General features: G+C 38.9%; 1 annotated feature.

Annotated features, from left to right (window-relative positions):
- Positions 1-20,044: part of a centromere (Linear centromere model derived predominantly from reads generated in PMID: 17803354. This region does not represent an actual centromere sequence, as long-range ordering of repeats and unmapped WGS contigs is not provided by the model. For details of model production, see http://arxiv.org/abs/1307.0035.) that runs on past both edges of the window.

Raw genomic sequence — 20,044 nt, 5'->3', positions numbered from 1 at the left:
CCCGTTTCCAACGAAATGCTGAAATCTATCCAAATATCCCCTCGCAGATTCTACAAAAAGAGTGTTTCAAAACTGCTCTTTAAAAAGAAAGGTTCAACTCTGTTAGTTGAGTACACACATCACAAACAAGTTTCACAGAATGCTTCTTTCTAGCTTGTAGGGGAAGATATTCCCTTTATCACCATGGGCCTCAAACCGTCCGATAAGTCCACTTCCATATACTACAAAAAGAGCGTTTCAAACCTGCTCTATGAAAGGCAATGTTCAACTCTGTGACTTGAATGCAGACATCACAGAGCAGTTTCTGAGAATGCTTCTGTCTAGATTTTATAGGAAGATATTCCCGTTTCCAACGAAATCTTCACAGCTATCCAAGTATCCACTTGCAGATTCTACAAAAAGAGTGTATCAAAACTGCTCTTTCAAAAGGAAGGTTCTTCTCTGTTAGGTGAGTGCATACGTCATAAAGGAGTTTCTGAGAATGTTTCTGTCTAGTGGTTATGGGAAGATATTTGCTTTTTCACCGTAGGCCTCAGAGGCGCTCCAAATATCCACTTGCACATACTACAAAAAGAGTGCCTCAAAGCTGCTCTCTGAAACGGAATGTTCAACTCTATGAGTTGAATGCAAACATCACAAAGACGTTTCTGAGAATGCTTCTGTCTAGATTTGATATGAAGGTATTCCCGTTTCCAAAGAAATCTTCAAATCTATCCAAATGTCCACTTGCAGATTCAACAAAAAGTGTTTTTCAGAACTGCTCTATCAAAAGAAAGATCCACCTCTGTTAGCTGAGTTAACACATCACAAACAAGTTTATGAGAATGCTTCTGTCTAGTTTTTATTTGAAGATATTTCCTTTCTCACCATAGACCTGAAAGCTGTCCTAAAGTTCACTTCCAGTTACTACAGAAAGAGTGTTTCAAAACTGCTGTACGAAAGGGAATGTTCAACTCTGTGACTTGAATGCACACATCACAAAGAAGTTTCTGAGGATGCTGCTGTCTACTTTTTATACTTAATCCCGTTTCCAACGAAATCCTCCAAGCTATCCAAATATCCACTTGCAGATTCCACAGAAAGACTGTTTCAAAACTGCTCTGCCAATAGAAAGGTTCAACTCTGTTAGCTGCGTGCATATATCCCAAAGAAGATTCTGAGATTGCTTCTGTCTAGTTTTTATGGGAAGATATTTCCCTTTTCACCGTAGGCGTCAAAGCGCTCCAAATGCCCACTTCCAGACACTACAAAAAGAGTGTTTCAAACCTACTCTGTGAAAGGGAATATTCAACTCTGTGACTTGAATGCAGATATCACAAAGAAGTTTCTGAGAATGCTTCTGTCGAGATTTTATATGAAGATATTCCCCTTTCCAACGAAATCCTGAAATCTATCCAAATATCCCCTCGCAGATTCTACAAAAAGAGTGTTTCAAAACTGCTCTGTAAAAAGAAAGGTTCAACTCTGTTAGTTGAGTACACACATCACAAACAAGTTTCACAGAATGCTTCTTTCTAGCTTGTAGGGGAAGATATTCCCTTTATCACCATGGGCCTCAAACCGTCCGAAACGTCCACTTCCATATGCTACAAAAAGAGTGTTTCAAACCTGCTCTATGAAAGGCAATGTTCAACTCTGTGAGTTGAATGCAGACATCACAGAGCAGTTTCTGAGAATGCTTCTGTCTAGATTTTATAGGAAGATATTCCCGTTTCCAACGAAATCTTCACAGCTATCCAAATATCCACTTGCAGATTCTGCAAAAAGAGTGTATCAAAACTGCTCTGTCAAAAGGAAGGTTCTTCTCTGTTAGTTGAGTACATACTTCATAAAGGAGTTTCTGAGAATGTTTCTGTCTAGTGGTTATGGGAAGATATTTGCTTTTTCACCGTAGGCCTCAGAGCGCTCCAAATATCCACTTGCACATACTACAAAAAGAGTGCTTCAAAGCTGGTCTCTGAAACGGAATGTTCAACTCTATGAGTTGAATGCAAACATCACAAAGACGTTTCTGAGAATGCTTCTTTCTAGATTTGATATGACGATATTCCCGTTTCCAACGAAATCTTCAAATCTATCCAAATGTCCACTTGCAGATTCAACAAAACGTGTTTTTCAGAACTGCTCTATCAAAAGAAAGATCCACCTCTGTTAGCTGAGTTCACACATCACAAACAAGTTTATGAGAATGCTTCTGTCTAGTTTTTATTTGAAGATATTTCCTTTCTCACCATAGACCTGAAAGCTGTCCTAATGTTCACTTCCAGATACTACAGAAAGAGTGTTTCATAACTGCTGTACGAAAGGGAATGTTCAACTCTGTGACTTGAATGCACACATCACAAAGAAGTTTCTGAGGATGCTGCTGTCTAATTTTTATACGTAATCCCGTTTCCAACGAAATCCTCCAAGCTATCCAAATATCCACTTGCAGATTCCACAGAAAGACTGTTTCAAAACTGCTCTGTCAATAGAAAGGTTCAACTCTGTTAGCAGCGTGCATATATCCCAAAGAAGATTCTGAGATTGCTTCTGTCTACTTTTTATGAGAAGATATTTCCCTTTTCACCGTAGGCGTCAAGGCGCTCCAAATGTCCACTTCCAGATACTACAAAAAGAGTGTTTCAAACCTACTCTGTGAAAGGGAATATTGAACTCTGTGACTTGAATGCACATATCACAAAGAAGCTTCTGAGAATGCTTCTGTCGAGATTTTATATGAAGATATTCCCGTTTCCAAAGAAATCCTGAAATCTATCCAAATATCCCCTCGCAGATTCTACAAAAATAGTGTTTCAAAACTGCTCTGTAAAAAGAAAGGTTCAACTCTGTTAGTTGAGTACACACATCACAAACAAGTTTCACAGAATGCTTCTTTCTAGCTTGTAGGGGAAGATATTCCCTTTATCACCATGGGCCTCCAACCGTCCGAAACATCCACTTCCATATACTACACAAAGAGCGTTTCAAACCTGCTCTATGAAAGGCAATGTTCAACTCTGTGACTTGAATACAGACATCACAGAGCAGTTTCTGAGAATGCTTCTGTCTAGATTTTATAGGAAGATATTCCCTGTTTCCAACGAAATCTTCACAGCTATCCAAATATCCACTTGCAGATTCTACAAAAAGAGTGTATCAAAACTGCTCTGTCAAAAGGAAGGTTCTTCTCTGTTAGGTGAGTGCATACATCATAAAGGAGTTTCTGAGAATGTTTCTGTCTAGTGGTTACGGGAAGATATTTGCTTTTTCCCCGTAGGGCTCAAAGCGCTCCAAATGTCCACTTGCACATACTACAAAAACAGTGCTTCAAAGCTGCTCTCTGAAAGGGAATGTTCAACTCTATGAGTTGAATGCAAACATCACAAAGACGTTTCTGAGAATGCTTCTGTCTAGATTTGAAATGAACATATTCCCGTTTTCAACGAAATCTTCAAATCTATCCAAATGTCTACTTGCAGATTCAACAAAAAGTGTTTTTCAAAACTGCTGTGTCGAAAGAAAGATCCAACTCTGTTAGCTGAGTTCACACTTCACAAACAAGTTTATCAGAATGCTTCTGTCTAGTTTTTATTTGAAGATATTTCCTTTCTCACCATAGACCTGAAAGCTGTCCTAATGTTCACTTCCAGATACTACAGAAAGAGTGTTTCAAAACTGCTGTACGAAAGGGAATGTTCAACTCTGTGACTTGAATACACACATCACAAAGAAGTTTCTGAGGAGGCTGCAGTCTACTTTTTATACGTAATCCCGTTTCTAAAGAAAACCTCCAAGCTATCCAAATATCCACTTGCAGATTCCACAGAAAGACTGTTTCAAAACTGCTCTGTCAATAGAAAGGTTCAACTCTGTTAGCTGCGTGCATATATCCCAAAGAAGATTCTGAGATTGCTTCTGTCTACTTTTTATGAGAAGATATTTCCCTTTTCACCGTAGGCATCAAGGCGCTCCAAATGTCCACTTCCAGATACTACAAAAAGTGTGTTTCAAACCTACTCTGTGAAAGGGAATATTCAACTCTGTGACTTGAATGCACATATCACAACGAAGCTTCTGAGAATGCTTCTGTCGAGATTTTATATGAAGATATTCCCGTTTCCAACGAAATCCTGAAATCTATCCAAATATCCCCTTGCAGATTCTACAAAAAGAGTGTTTCAAAACTGCTCTGTAAAAAGAAAGGTTCAACTCTGTTAGTTGAGTACACACATCACAAACAAGTTTCACAGAATGCTTCTTTCTAGCTTGTAGGGGAAGATATTCCCTTTATCACCATGGGCCTCAAACCGTCCGAAACATCCACTTCCATATACTACAAAAAGAGCGTTTCAAACCTGCTCTATGAAAGGCAATGTTCAACTCTGTGACTTGAATGCAGACATCACAGAGCAGTTTCTGAGAATGCTTTCTGTCTAGATTTTATAGGAAGATATTCCCGTTTCCAACGAAATCTTCACAGCTATCCAAATATCCACTTGCAGATTCTACAAAAAGAGTGTATCGAAACTGCTCTGTCAAAAGGAAGGTTCTTCTCTGTTAGGTGAGTGCATACGTCATAAAGGAGTTTCTGAGAATGTTTCTGTCTAGTGGTTATGGGAAGATATTTGCTTTTTCCCCGTAGGCCTCAGGGCCCTCCAAATGTCCACTTGCACATGCTACAAAAAGAGTGCTTCAAAGCTGCTCTCTGAAAGGGAATGTTCAACTCTATGAGTTGAATGCAAACATCACAAAGACGTTTCTGAGAATGCTTCTGTCTAGATTTGATATGAAGATATTCCCGTTTCCAACGAAATCTTCAAATCTATCCAAATGTCCACCTGCAGATTCAACAAAAAATGTTTTTCAGAACTGCTCTATCAAAAGAAAGATCCACCTCTGTTAGCTGAGTTCACACATCACAAACAAGTTAATGAGAATGCTTCTGTCTAGTTTTTATTTGAAGATATTTCCTTTCTCACCATAGACCTGAAAGCTTTCCTAATGTTCACTTCCAGATACTACAGAAAGAGTGGTTCAAAACTGCTGTACGAAAGGGAATGTTCAACTCTGTGACTTGAATGCACACATCACAAAGAAGTTTCTGAGGATGCTGCTGTCTAATTTTTATACGTAATCCCGTTACCAACGAAATCCTCCAAGCTATCTAAATATCCACTTGCAGATTCCACAGAAAGACTGTTTCAAAACTGCTCTGTCAATAGAAAGGTTCAACTCTGTTAGCTGCGTGCATATATCCCAAAGCAGATTCTGAGATTCCTTCTGTCTAGTTTTTATGGGAAGATATTTCCCTTTTCACCGTAGGCGTCGAGGCGCTCCAAATTTCCACTTCCAGATACTACAAAAAGAGTGTTTGAAACCTACTCTGTGAAAGGGAATATTCAACTCTGTGACTTGAATGCACATATCACAAAGAAGTTTCTGAGAATGCTTCTGTCGAGATTTTATATGAAGATATTCCCGTTTCCAACGAAATCCTGAAATCTATCCAAATATCCCCTCGCAGATTCTACAAAAAGAGTGTTTCAAAACTGCTCTGTAAAAAGAAAGGTTCAACCCTCTTAGTTGAGTACACACATCACAAACAAGTTTCACAGAATGCTTCTTTCTAGCTTGTAGGGGAAGATATTCCCTTTATCACCATGGACCTAAAACCGTCCGAAACGTCCACTTCCATATACTACAAAAAGAGCGTTTCAAACCTGCTCTAGGAAAGGCAATGTTCAACTCTGTGACTTGAATGCAGACATCACAGAGCAGTTTCTGAGAATGCTTCTGTCTAGATTTTATAGGAAGATATTCCCGTTTCCAACGAAATCTTCACAGCTATCCAAATATCCACTTGCAGATTCTACAAAAAGAGTGTATCAAAACTGCTCTGTCAAAAGGAAGGTTCTTCTCTGTTAGGTGAGTGCATACTTCATAAAGCAGTTTCTGAGAATGTTTCTGTCTAGTGGTTATGGGAAGATATTTGCTTTTTCACCGTAGGCCTCAGAGCGCTCCAAATATCCACTTGCACATACTACAAAAAGAGTGCCTCAAAGCTGCTCTCTGTAACGGAATGTTCAACTCTATGAGTTGAATGCAAACATCACAAAGACGTTTCTGAGAATGCTTCTGTCTAGATTTGATATGAAGATATTCCCGTTTCCAACGAAATCTTCAAATCTATCCAAATGTCCACTTGCAGATTCAACAAAAAGTGTTTTTCAGAACTGCTCTATCAAAAGAAAGATCCACCTCTGTTAGCTGAGTTCACACATCACAAACAAGTTTATGAAAATGCTTCTGTCTATTTTTTATTTGAAGATATAGCCTTTCTCACTATAGACATGAAAGCTCTCCTAAAGTTCACTTCCAGATACTTCAGAAAGAGTGTTTCAAAACTGCTGTACGAAAGGGAATGTTCAACTCTGTGACTTGAATGCACACATTACAAGGAAGTTTCTGTGGATGCTGCTGTCTAGCTTTTTATATCTGTAATCCCGTTTCCAACGAAATCCTCCAAGCTATCCAAATATCTACTTGCAGATTCCACAGAAAGACTGTTTCAAAACTGCTCTGTCAATAGAAAGGTTTAACTCTGTTAGCTGCGTGCATATATCCCAAAGAAGATTCTGAGATTGCTTCTGTCTAGTTTTTATGGGAAGATATTTCCCTTTTCACCGTAGGTGTCAAGGCGCTCCAAATGTCCACTTCCAGATACTACAAAAAGAGTGTTTCAAACCTACTCTGTGAAAGGGAATATTCAACTCTGTGACTCGAATGCACATATCACAAAGAAGTTTCTGAGAATGCTTCTGTCGAGATTTTATATGAAGATATTCCCGTTTCCAACGAAATCCTGAAATCTATCCAAATATCCCCTCGCAGATTCTACAAAAAGAATGTTTCAAAACTGCTCTGTAAAAAGAAAGGTTCAACTCTGTTATTTGAGTACACACATCACAAACAAGTTTCACAGAATGCTTCTTTCTAGCTTGTAGGGGAAGATATTCCCTTTATCACCATGGGCCTCCAACCGTCCGAAACATCCACTTCCATATACTACAAAAAGAGCGTTTCAAACCTGCTCTATGAAAGGCAATGTTCAACTCTGTGACTTGAATGCAGACATCACAGAGCAGTTACTGAGAATGCTTCTGTGTAGATTTTATAGGAAGATATTCCCGTTTCCAACGAAATCTTCACAGCTATCCAAATATCCACTTGCAGATTCTACAAAAAGAGTGTATCAAAACTGCTCTGTCAAAAGGAAGGTTCTTCTCTCTTAGGTGAGTGCATACGTCATAAAGGAGTTTCTGAGAATGTTTCTGTCTAGTGGTTATGGGAAGATATTTGCTTTTTCACCGTAGGCCTCAGAGCGCTCCAAATATCCACTTGCACATACTACAAAAAGAGTGCCTCAAAGCTGCTCTCTGAAACGGAATGTTCAACTCTATGAGTTGAATGCAAACATCGCAAAGACGTTTCTGAGAATGCTTCTGTCTAGATTTGATATGAAGATATTCCCGTTTCCAACTAAATCTTCAAATCTATCCAAATGTCCACTTGCAGATTCAACAAAAAGTGTTTTTCAGAACTGCTCTATCAAAAGAAAGATCCACCTCTGTTAGCTGAGTTCAGACATCACAAACAAGTTTATGAGAATGCTTCCTGTCTAGTTTTTATTTGAAGATATTTCCTTTCTCACCATAGAGCTGAAAGCTGTCCTAATGTTCACTTCCAGATACTACAGAAAGAGTGTTTCAAAACTGCTGTACGAAAGGGAATGTTCAACTCTGTGACTTGAATGCACACATCACAAAGAAGTTTCTGAGGATGCTGCTGTCTACTTTTTATATGTAATCCCGTTTCCAATGAAATCCTCCAAGCTATCCAAATATCCACTTGCAGATTCCACAAAAAGACTGTTTCAAAACTGCTCTGTCAATAGAAAGGTTCAACTCTGTTAGCTGCATGCATACATCCCAAAGAAGATTCTGAGATTGCCTCTGTGTAGTTTTTATGGGAAGATATTTCCTTTTTCACCATAGACGTCAAAGCGCTCCCAATGTCCACTTCCAGATACTACAAAAAGAGTGTTTCAAACCTGCTATGTGAAAGGGAATATTCAACTCTGTAACTTCAATGCATATATCACAAAGAGGTTTCGGAGAATGCTTCTGTCGAGATTTTATATGAAGATATTCCCGTTTCCAACGAAATCCTGAAATCTATCCAAATATCCCCTCGCAGATTCTACAAAAAGAGTGTTTCAAAACTGCTCTGTAAAAAGAATGGTTCAACTCTATTAGTTGAGTACACACATCACAAACAAGTTTCACAGAATGCTTCTTTCTAGCTTGTAGGGGAAGATATTCCCTTTATCACCATGGGCCTCAAACCGTCCGAAACGTCTACTTCCATATACTACAAAAAGAGCGTTTCAAACCTGCTCTAGGAAAGGCAATGTTCAACTCTGTGACTTGAATGCAGACATCACAGAGCAGTTTCTGAGAATGCTTCTGTCTAGATTTTATAGGAAGATATTCCCGTTTCCAGCAAAATCTTCACAGCTATCCAAATATCCACTTGCAGATTCTACAAAAAGAGTGTATCAAAACTGCTCTGTCAAATGGAAGGTTCTTCTCTGTTAGGTGAGTGCATACGTCATAAACGAGTTTCTGAGAATGTTTCTGTCTAGTGGTTATGGGAAGATATTTGCTTTTTCACCTTAGGCCTCAGAGCGCTCCAAATATCCCTTTACAAATCCTACAAAAAGAGTGCTTCAAAGCTGCTCTCTGAAAGGGAATGTTCAACTCTATGAGTTGAATGCAAACATCACAAAGACGTTTCTGGGAATGCTTCTGTCTAGATTTGATATGAAGATATTCCCGTTTCCAACGAAATCTTCAAATCTATCCAAATGTCCACTTGCAGATTCAACAAAATGTGTTTTTCAGAACTGCTCTATCAAAAGAAAGATCCACCTCTGTTAGCTGAGTTCACACATCACAAACAAGTTTATGAGAATGCTTCCGTCTAGTTTTTATTTGAAGATATTTCCTTTCTCACCATAGACCTGAAAGCTGTCCTAATGTTCACTTCCAGATACTACAGAAAGAGTGTTTCAAAACTGCTGTACGAAAGGGAATGTTCAACTCTGTGACTTGAATGCACACATCACAAAGAAGTTTCTGAGGATGCTGCTGTCTACTTTTTATACGTAATCCCGTTTCCAACGAAATCCTCCAAGCTATCCAAATATCCACTTGCAGATTCCACAGAAAGACTGTTTCAAAACTGCTCTGTCAATAGAAAGGTTCAACTCTGTTAGCGGCGTGCATAAATCCCAAAGAAGATTCTGAGATTGCTTCTGTCTAGTTTTTATGGGAAGATATTTCCCTTTTCACCGTAGGCGTCAAGGCGCTCCAAATGTCCACTTCCAGATACTACAAAAAGAGTGTTTCAAACCTACTCTGTGAAAGGGAATATTCAACTCTGTGACTTGAATGCACATATCACAAGGAAGTTTCTGAGAATGCTTCTGTCGAGATTTTATATGAAGATATTCCCGTTTCCAACGAAATGCTGAAATGTTTCCAAATATCCCCTCGCAGATTCTACAAAAAGAGTGTTTCAAAACTACTCTGTAAAAAGAAAGGTTCAACTCTGTTAGTTGAGTACACACATCACAAACAAGTTTCACAGAATGCTTCTTTCTAGCTTGTAGGGGAAGATATTCCCTTTATCACCATGGGCCTCAAACCGTCCGAAACGTCCACTTCCATATACTACAAAAAGAGCGTTTCAAACCTGCTCCATGAAAGGCAATGTTCAACTGTGTGACTTGAATGCAGACATCACAGAGCAGTTTCTGAGAATGCTTCTGTCTAGTGGTTATGGGAAGATATTTGCTTTTTCACCGTAGGCCTCAGAGCGCTCCAAATATCCACTTTCAGATTCTACAAAAAGAGTGTATCAAAACTGCTCTGTCAAAAGGAAGGTTCTTTTCTGTTAGGTGAGTGCATACGTCATAAAGGAGTTTCTGAGAATGTTTCTGTCTAGTGGTTATGGGAAGATATTTGCTTTTTCCCCGTATGCCTCAGGGCGCTCCAAATGTCCACTTGCACATGCTACAAAAAGAGTGCTTCAAAGCTGCTCTCTGAAAGGGAATGTTCAACTCTATGAGTTGAATGCAAACATCACAAAGACGTTTCTGAGAATGCTTCTGTCTAGATTTGATATGAAGATATTCCCGTTTCCAACGAAATCTTCAAATCTATCCAAATGTCCACTTGCAGATTTCAACAAAAAGTGTTTTTCAAAACTGCTGTATCAAAAGAAAGATCCACGTCTGTTAGCTGAGTTCACACATCACAAACAAGTTTATGAGAATGCTTCTGTCTAGTTTTTATTTGAAGATATTTCCTTTCTCACCATAGACCTGAAAGCTGTCCTAATGTTCACTTCCAGATACTACAGAAAGAGCGTTTCAAAACTGATGTACGAAAGGGAATGTTCAACTCTGTGACTTGAATGCACACATCACAAAGAAGTTTCTGAGGATGCTGCTGTCTACTTTTTATACGTAATCCCGTTTCCAACGAAATCCTCCAAGCTATCCAAATATCCACTTGCAGATTCTACAGAAAGACTGTTTCAAAACTGCTCTGTCAATAGAAAGGTTCAACTCTGTTAGCTGCGTGCATATATCCCAAAGAAGATTCTGAGATTGCTTCTGTCTAGTTTTTACGGGAAGATATTTCCCTTTTCACCATAGGTGTCAAGGCGCTCCAAATGTCCACTTCCAGATACTACAAAAAGAGTGTTTCAAACCTACTCTGTGAAAGGGAATATTCCGCTCTGTGACTTGAATGCAGATATCACAATGAAGTTTCTGAGAATGCTTCTGTCGAGATTTTGTATGAAGATATTCCCGTTTCCAACGAAATCCTGAAATCTATCCAAATATCCCCTCGCAGATTCTACAAAAAGAGTGTTTCAAAACTGCTCTGTGAAAAGAAAGGTTCAACTCTGTTAGTTGAGTACACACATCACAAACAAGTTTCACAGAATGCTTCTTCTTTCTAGCTTGTAGGGGAAGATATTCCCTTTATCACCATGGGCCTCAAACCGTCCGAAAAGTCCACTTCCATATACTACAAAAAGAGCGTTTCAAACCTGCTCTATGAAAGGCAATGTTCAACTCTGTGACTTGAATGCAGACATCACAGAGCAGTTTCTGAGAATGCTTCTGTCTAGATTTTATAGGAAGATATTCCCGTTTCCAACGAAATCTTCACAGCTATCCAAATATCCACTTGCAGATTCTACAAAAAGAGTGTATCAAAACTGCTCTGTCAAAAGGAAGGTTCTTCTCTGTTAGGTGAGTGCATACGTCATAAAGGAGTTTCTCAGAATGTTTCTGTCTAGTGGTTATGGGAAGATATTTGCATTTTCACCGTAGGCCTCAGAGCGCTCCAAATATCCACTTGCACATACTACAAAAAGAGTGCCTCAAAGCTGCTCTCTGAAAGGGAATGTTCAACTCTATGAGTTGAATGCAAACATCGCAAAGACGTTTCTGAGAATGCTTCTGTCTAGATTTGATATGAAGATATTCCCGTTTCCAAAGAAATCTTCAAATCTATCCAAATGTCCACTTGCAGATTCAACAAAAAGTGTTTTTCAGAACTGCTCTATCAAAAGAAAGATCCACGTCTCTTAGCTGAGTTCACACATCACAAACAAGTTTATGAGAATGCTTCCGTCTAGTTTTTATTTGAAGATATTTCCTTTCTCACCATAGACCTGAAAGCTGTCCTAATGTTCACTTCCAGATACTACAGAAAGAGTGTTTCAAAACTGCTGTACGAAAGGGAATGTTCAACTCTGTGACTTGAATGCACACATCACAAAGGAGTTTCTGAGGATGCTGCTGTCTACTTTTTATACGTAATCCCGTTTCCAACGAAATCCTCCAAGCTATCCAAATATCCACTTGCAGATTCCACAGAAGGACTGTTTCAAAACTACTCTGTCAATAGAAAGGTTCAACTCTGTTAGCTGCGTGCATATATCCCAAAGAAGATTCTGAGATTGCTTCTGTCTAGTTTTTATGTGAAGATATTTCCCTTTTCACCGTAGGCGTCAAGGCGCTCCAAATGTCCACTTCCAGATACTACAAAAAGAGTGTTTCAAACCTACTCTGTGAAAGGGAATATTCAACTCTGTGACTTGAATGCACATATCACAAAGAAGTTTCTGAGAATGCTTCTGTCGAGATTTTATATGAAGATATTCCCGTTTCCAACGAAATCCTGAAATCTATCCAAATATCCCCTCGCAGATTCTACAAAAAGAGTGTTTCAAAACTGCTCTGTGAAAAGAAAGGGTCAACTCTGTTAGTTGAGTACACACATCACAAACAAGTTTCACAGAATGCTTCTTTCTAGCTTGTAGGGGAAGATATTCCCTTTATCACCATCGGCCTCAAACCGTCTGAAACGTCCACTTCCAGATACTACAAAAAGAGCATTTCAAACCTGCTCTATGAAAGGCAATGTTCAACTCTGTGACTTGAATGCAGACATCACAGAGCAGTTTCTGAGAATGCTTCTGTCTAGATTTTATAGGAAGATATTCCCGTTTCCAACGAAATCTTCACAGCTATCCCAAATATCCACTTGCAGATTCTACAAAAAGAGTGTATCAAAACTGCTCTGTCAAAAGGAAGGTTCTTCTCTGTTAGGTGAGTGCATACGTCATAAAGGAGTTTCTGAGAATGTTTCTGTCTAGTGGTTATGGGAAGATATTTGCTTTTTCCCCGTAGGCCTCAGGGCGCTCCACATGTCCACTTGCACATGCTACAAAAAGAGTGCTTCAAAGCTGCTCTCTCAAAGGGAATGTTCAACTCTATGAGTTGAATGCAAACATCGCAAAGACGTTTCTGAGAATGCTTCTGTCTAGATTTGATATGAAGATATTCCCGTTTCCAACGAAATCTTCATATCTATCCAAATGTCCACTTGCAGATTCAACAAAAAGTGTTTTTCAAAACTGCTGTATCAAAAGAAAGATCCACGTCCGTTAGCTGAGTTCACACATCACAAACAAGTTTATGAGAATGCTTCTGTCTAGTTTTTATTTGAAGATATTTCCTTTCTCACCATAGACCTGAAAGCTGTCCTATTGTTCACTTCCAGATACTAAAGAAAGAGTGTTTCAAAACTGCTGTACGAAAGGGAATGTTCAACTCTGTGACTTCAATGCACACATCACAAAGAAGTTTCTGAGGATGCTGCTGTCTACTTTTTATACGTAATCCCGTTTCCAATGAAATCCTCCAAGCTATCCAAGTATCCACTTGCAGATTCCACAGAAAGAGTGTTTCAAAACTGCTCTGTCAATAGAAAGGTTCAACTCTGTTAGCTGCGTGCATATATCCCAAAGAAGATTCTGAGATTGCTTCTGTCTAGTTTTTATGGGAAGATATTTCCCTTTTCACCGTAGGCGTCAAGGCGCTCCAAATGTCCACTTCCAGATACTACAAAAAGAGTGTTTCAAACCTACTCTGTGAAAGCGAATATTCAACTCTGTGACTTTAATGCACATATCACAAAGAAGTTTCTGAGAATGCTTCTGTCGAGATTTTATATGATAGATATTCCCGTTTCCAACGAAATCCTGAAATCTATCCAAATATCCCCTCGCAGATTCTACAAAAAGAGTGTTTCAAAACTGCTCTGTAAAAAGAAAGGTTCAACTCTGTTAGTTGAGTACACACATCACAAACAAGTTTCACAGAATGCTTCTTTCTAGCTTGTAGGGGAAGATTTTCCCTTTATCACCATGGGCCTCCAACCGTCCGAAACATCCACTTCCATATACTACAAAAAGAGCGTTTCAAACCTGCTCTATGAAAGGCAATGTTCAACTCTGTGACTTGAATGCAGACATCACAGAGCAGTTTCTGAGAATGCTTCTGTCTAGATTTTATAGGAAGATATTCCCGTTTCCAACGAAATCTTCACAGCTATCCAAATATCCACTTGCAGATTCTACAAAAAGAGTGTATCAAAACTGCTCAGTCAAAAGAAAGGTTCTTCTCTGTTAGGTGAGTGCATACGTCATAAAGGAGTTTCTGAGAATGTTTCTGTCTAGTGGTTATGGGAAGATATTTGCTTTTTCCCCGTAGGCCTCAGGGCGCTCCAAATGTCCACTTGCACATGCTACAAAAAGAGTGCTTCAAAGCTTCTCTCTGAAAGGGAATGTTCAACTCTATGAGTTGAATGCAAACATCACAAAGACGTTTCTGAGAATGCTTCTGTCTAGATTTGATATGAAGATATTCCCGTTTCCAACGAAATCTTCAAATCTATCCGAATGTCCACTTGCAGATTCAACAAAAAGTGTTTTTCAGAACTGCTCTATCAAAAGAAAGATCCACCTCTGTTAGCTGAGTTCACACATCACAAACAAGTTTATGAGAATGCTTCTGTCTAGTTTTTATTTGAAGATATTTCCTTTCTCACCATAGAGCTGAAAGCTGTCCTAATGTTCACTTCCAGTTACTACAGAAAGAGTGTTTCAAAACTGCTGTACGAAAGGGAATGTTCAACTCTGTGACTTGAATGCACACATCACAAAGAAGTTTCTGAGGATGCTGCTGTCTACTTTTTATACGTAATCCCGTTTCCAACGAAATCCTCCAATCTATCCAAATATCCACTTGCAGATTCCACAGAAAGACTGTTTCAAAACTGCTCTGTCAATAGAAAGGTTCAACTCTGTTAGCTGCGTGCAGATATCCCAAGGAAGATTCTGAGATTGCTTCTGTCTAGTTTTTATGGGAAGATATTTCCCTTTTCACCGTAGGCGTCAAGTCGCTCCAAATGTCCACTTCCAGATACTACAAAAAGAGTGTTTCAAACCTACTCTGTGAAAGGGAATATTCAACTCTGTGACTTGAATGCAGATATCACAAAGAAGTTTCTGAGAATGCTTCTGTCGAGATTTTATATGAAGATATTCCCGTTTCCAACGAAATCCTGAAATCTCTCCAAATATCCCCTCGCAGATTCTACAAAAAGAGTGTATGAAAACTGCTCTGTCAAAAGGTAGGTTCTTCTCTGTTAGGTGAGTGCATACGTCATAAAGGAGTTTCTGAGAATGTTTCTTTCTAGCTTGTAGGGGAAGATATTCCCTTTATCACCATGGGCCTCAAACCGTCCGAAATGTCCACTTCCATATACTACAAAAAGAGCGTTTCAAACCTGCTCTATGAAAGGCAATGTTCAACTCTGTGACTTGAATGCAGACATCACAGAGCAGTTTCGGAGAATGCTTCTGTCTAGATTTTATAGGAAGATATTCCCGTTTCCAACGAAATCTTCACAGCTATCCAAATATCCACTTGCAGATCCTACAAAAAGAGTGTATCAAAACTGCTCTGTCAAAAGGAAGGTTCTTCTCTGTTAGTTGAGTACATACGTCATAAAGGAGTTTCTGAAAATGTTTCTGTCTAGTGGTTATGGGAAGATATTTGCTTTTTCACCTTAGGCCTCAGAGCGCTCCAAATATCCCCTTGCACATACTACAAAAAGAGTGCTTCAAAGCTGCTCTCTGAAAGGGAATGTTCAACTCTATGAGTTGAATGCAAACATCACAAAGACGTTTCTGAGAATGCCTCTGTCTAGATTTGATATGAAGATATTCCCGTTTCCAACGAAATCTTCAAATCTATACAAATGTCCATTTGCAGATTCAACAAAATGTGTTTTTCAGAACTGCTCTATCAAAAGAAAGATCCACCTCTGTTAGCTGAGCTCACACATCACAAACAAGTTTATGAGAATGCTTCTGTCTAGTTTTTATTTGAAGATATTCCCTTTCTCACCATAGACCTGTAAGCTGTCCTAATGTTCACTTCCAGATACTACAGAAAGAGTGTTTCAAAACTGCTGTACGAAAGGGAATGTTCAACTCTGTGACTTGAATGCACACATCACAAAGAAGTTTCTGAGGATGCTGCTGTCTACTTTTTATACGTAATCCCGTTTCCAACGAAATCCTCCAATCTATCCAAATATCCACTTGCAGATTCCACAGAAAGACTGTTTCAAAACTGCTGTGTCTATAGAAAGGTTCAACTCTGTTAGCTGCGTGCATATATCCCAAAGAAGATTCTGAGATTGCTTCTGTCTAGTTTTTATGGGAAGATATTTCCCTTTTCACCGTAGGCGTCAAGGCGCTCCAAATGTCCACTTCCAGATACTACAAAAAGAGTGTTTCAAACCTACTCTGTGAAAGGGAATATTCAACTTTGTGACTTGAATGCACATATCACAAAGAAGTTTCTGAGAATGCTTCTGTCGAGATTTTATATGAAGATATTCCCGTTTCCAACGAAATCCTGAAATCTATCCAAATATCCCCTCGCAGATTCTACAAAAAGAGTGTTTCAAAACTGCTCTGTAAAAAGAAAGGTTCAACTCTGTTAGTTGAGTACACACTTCACAAACAAGTTTCACAGAATGCTTCTTTCTAGCTTGTAGGGGAAGATATTCCCTTTATCACCATGGGCCTCAAACCGTCCGAAACGTCCACTTCCATATAGTACAAAAAGAGCGTTTCAAACCTGCTCTATGAAAGGCAATGTTCAACTCTGTGACTTGAATGCAGACATCACAGAGCAGTTTCTGAGAATGCTTCTGTCTAGATTTTATAGGAAGATATTCCCTGTTTCCAACGAAATCTTCACAGCTATCCAAATATCCACTTGCAGATTCTACAAAAAGAGTGTATCAAAACTACTCTGTCAAAAGGAAGGTTCTTCTCTGTTAGGTGAGTGCATACATCATAAAGGAGTTTCTGAGAATGTTTCTGTCTAGTGGTTATGGGAAGATATTTGCTTTTTCACCGTAGGCCTCAGAGCGCTCCAAATATCCACTTGAACATACTACAAAAAGAGTGCTTCAAAGCTGCTCTCTGAAACGGAATGTTCAACTCTATGAGTTGAATGCAAACATCACAAAGACGTTTACTGAGAATGCTTCTGTCTAGATTTGATATGAAGATATTCCCGTTTCCAACGAAATCTTCAAATCTATCCAAATGTCCACTTGCAGATTCAACAAAAAGTGTTTTTCAGAACTGCTCTATCAAAATAAAGATCCACCTCTGTTACCTGAGTTCACACTTCACAAACAAGTTTTTGAGAATGCTTCTGTCTAGTTTTTATTTGAAGATATTTCCCTTCTCACCATAGAGTGAAAGCTGTCCTAATGTTCACTTCCAGATACTACAGAAAGAGTGTTTCAAAACTGCTGTACGAAAGGGAATGTTCAACTCTGTGACTTGAATGCACACATCACAAAGAAGTTTCTGAGGATGCTGCTGTCTACTTTTTATACGTAATCCCGTTTCCAACGAAATCCTCCAAGCTATCCAAATATCCACTTGCAGATTCCACAGAAACACTGTTTCAAAACTGTTCTGTCAATAGAAAGGTTCAACTATGTTAGCTGCGTGCATATATCCCAAAGAAGATTCTGAGATTGCTTCTGTCTAGTTTTTATGGGAAGATATTTCCCTTTTCACCGTAGGCGTCAAGGCGCTCCAATGTCCAATTCCAGATAGTATAAAAAGAGTGTTTCAAACCTCCTCTGTGAAAGGGAATATTCAACTCTGTGACTGTAATGCAGATATCACAAAGAAGTTTCTGAGAATGCTTCTGTCGAGATTTTATATGAAGATATTCCCGTTTCCAACGAAATCCTGAAATGTATCCAAATATCCCCTCGCAGATTCTACAAAAAGAGTGTTTCAAAACTGCTCTGTGAAAAGAAAGGTTCAACTCTGTTAGTTGAGTACACACATCACAAACAAGTTTCACAGAATGCTTCTTTCTAGCTTGTAGGGGAAGATATTCCCTTTATCACCATGGTCCTCAAACCGTTCGAAACGTCCTCTTCCATATAGTACAAAAAGAGCGTTTCAAACCTGCTCTATGAAAGGCAATGTTCAACTCTGTGACTTGAATGCAGACATCACAGAGCAGTTTCTGAGAATGCTTCTGTCTAGATTTTATAGGAAGATATTCCCGTTTCCAACGAAATCTTCACAGCTATCCAAATATCCACTTGCAGATTCTACAAAAAGAGTGTATCAAAACTGCTCTGTCAAAAAGAGGGTTCTTCTCTGTTAGTTGAGTACATACGTCATAAAGGAGTTTCTGAGAATGTTTCTGTCTAGTGGTTATGGGAAGATATTTGCTTTTTCACCGTAGGCCTCAGAGCGCTCCAAATATCCCCTTGCACATACTACAAAAAGAGTGCTTCAAAGCTGCGCTCTGAAAGGGAATGTTCAACTCTGTGAGTTGAATGCAAACATCACAAAGACGTTTCTGAGAATGCTTCTGTCTAGATTTGATATGAAGATATTCCCGTTTCCAACGAAATCTTCAAATCTATCCAAATGTCCACTTGCAGATTCAACAAAAAGTGTTTTTCAGAACTGCTCTATCAAAGGAAAGATCCACCTCTGTTAGCTGAGTTCACACATCACAAACAAGTTTATGAGAATGCTTCTGTCTAGTTTTTATTTGAAGATATTTCCTTTCTCACCATAGACCTGAAAGCTGTCCTAATGTTCACTTCCAGTTACTACAGAAAGAGTATTTCAAAACTGCTGTACGAAAGGGAATGTTCAACTCTGTGACTTGAATGCACACATCACAAAGAAGTTTCTGAGGATGCTGCTGTCTACTTTTTATACGTAATCCTGTTTCCAACGAAATCCTCCAAGCTATCCAAATATCCACTTGCAGATTCCACAGAAAGACTGTTTCAAAACTGCTATGTCAATAGAAAAGTTCAACTCTGTTAGCTGTGTGCATATATCCCAAAGAAAATTCTGAGATTGCTTCTGTCTAGTTTTTATGGGAAGATATTTCCCTTTTCACCGTAGGCGTCAAGGCGCTCCAAATGTCCACTTCCAGATACTACAAAAAGAGTGTTTCAAACCTACTGTGTGAAAGGGAATATTCAACTCTGTGACTTGAAGGCAGATATCACAAAGAAGTTTCTGAGAATGCTTCTGTCGAGATTTTATATGAAGATATTCCCCTTTCCAACGAAATCCTGAAATCTATCCAAATATGCCCTCGCAGATTCTACAAAAAGAGTGTTTCAAAACTGCTCTGTAAAAAGAAAGGTTCAACTCTGTTAGTTGAGTACACACATCACAAACAAGTTTCACAGAATGCTTCTTTCTAGCTTGTAGGGGAAGATATTCCCTTTATCACCATGGGCCTCAAACCGTCTGAAACGTCCACTTCCATATACTACAAAAAGAGCATTTCAAACCTGCTCTATGAAAGGCAATGTTCAACTCTGTGACTTGAATGCAGACATCACAGAGCAGTTTCTGAGAATGCTTCTGTCTAGATTTTATAGGAAGATATTCCTGTTTCCAACGAAATCTTCACAGCTATCCAAATATCCACTTGCAGATTCTACAAAAAGAGTGTATCAAAACTGCTCTGTCAAAAGGAAGGTTCTTCTATGTTAGGTGAGTGCATACGTCATAAAGGAGTTTCTGAGAATGTTTCTGTCTAGTGGTTATGGGAAGATATTTGCTTTTTCACCGTAGGCCTCAGAGCGCTCCAAATATCCACTTGCACATACTACAAAAAGTGTGCCTCAAAGCTGCTCTCTGAAACGGAATGTTCAACTCTATGAGTTGAATGCAAACATCCCAAAGACGTTTCTGAGAATGCTTCTGTCAAAATTTGATATGAAGATATTCCAGTTTCCAACGAAATCTTCAAATCTATCCAAATGTCCACTTGCAGATTCAACAAAAAGTGTTTTTCAGAACTGCTCTATCAAAAGAAAGATCCACCTCTGTTAGCTGAGTTCACACATCACAAACAAGTTTATGAGAATGCTTTTGTCTAGTTTTTATTTGAAGATATTTCCTTTCTCACCATAGACCTGAAAGCTGTCCTAATGTTCACTTCCAGTTACTACAGAAAGAGTGTTTGAAAACTGCTGTA

This window comes from Homo sapiens, chromosome 13, assembly GCF_000001405.40.
Source record: "Homo sapiens chromosome 13, GRCh38.p14 Primary Assembly".
In the NCBI taxonomy this organism is placed as follows: Eukaryota; Metazoa; Chordata; class Mammalia; order Primates; family Hominidae; genus Homo; species Homo sapiens.
The sequence above is the reverse complement of the archived record's forward strand: the minus strand, read 5'-3'. Positions and strand labels throughout refer to the sequence as shown.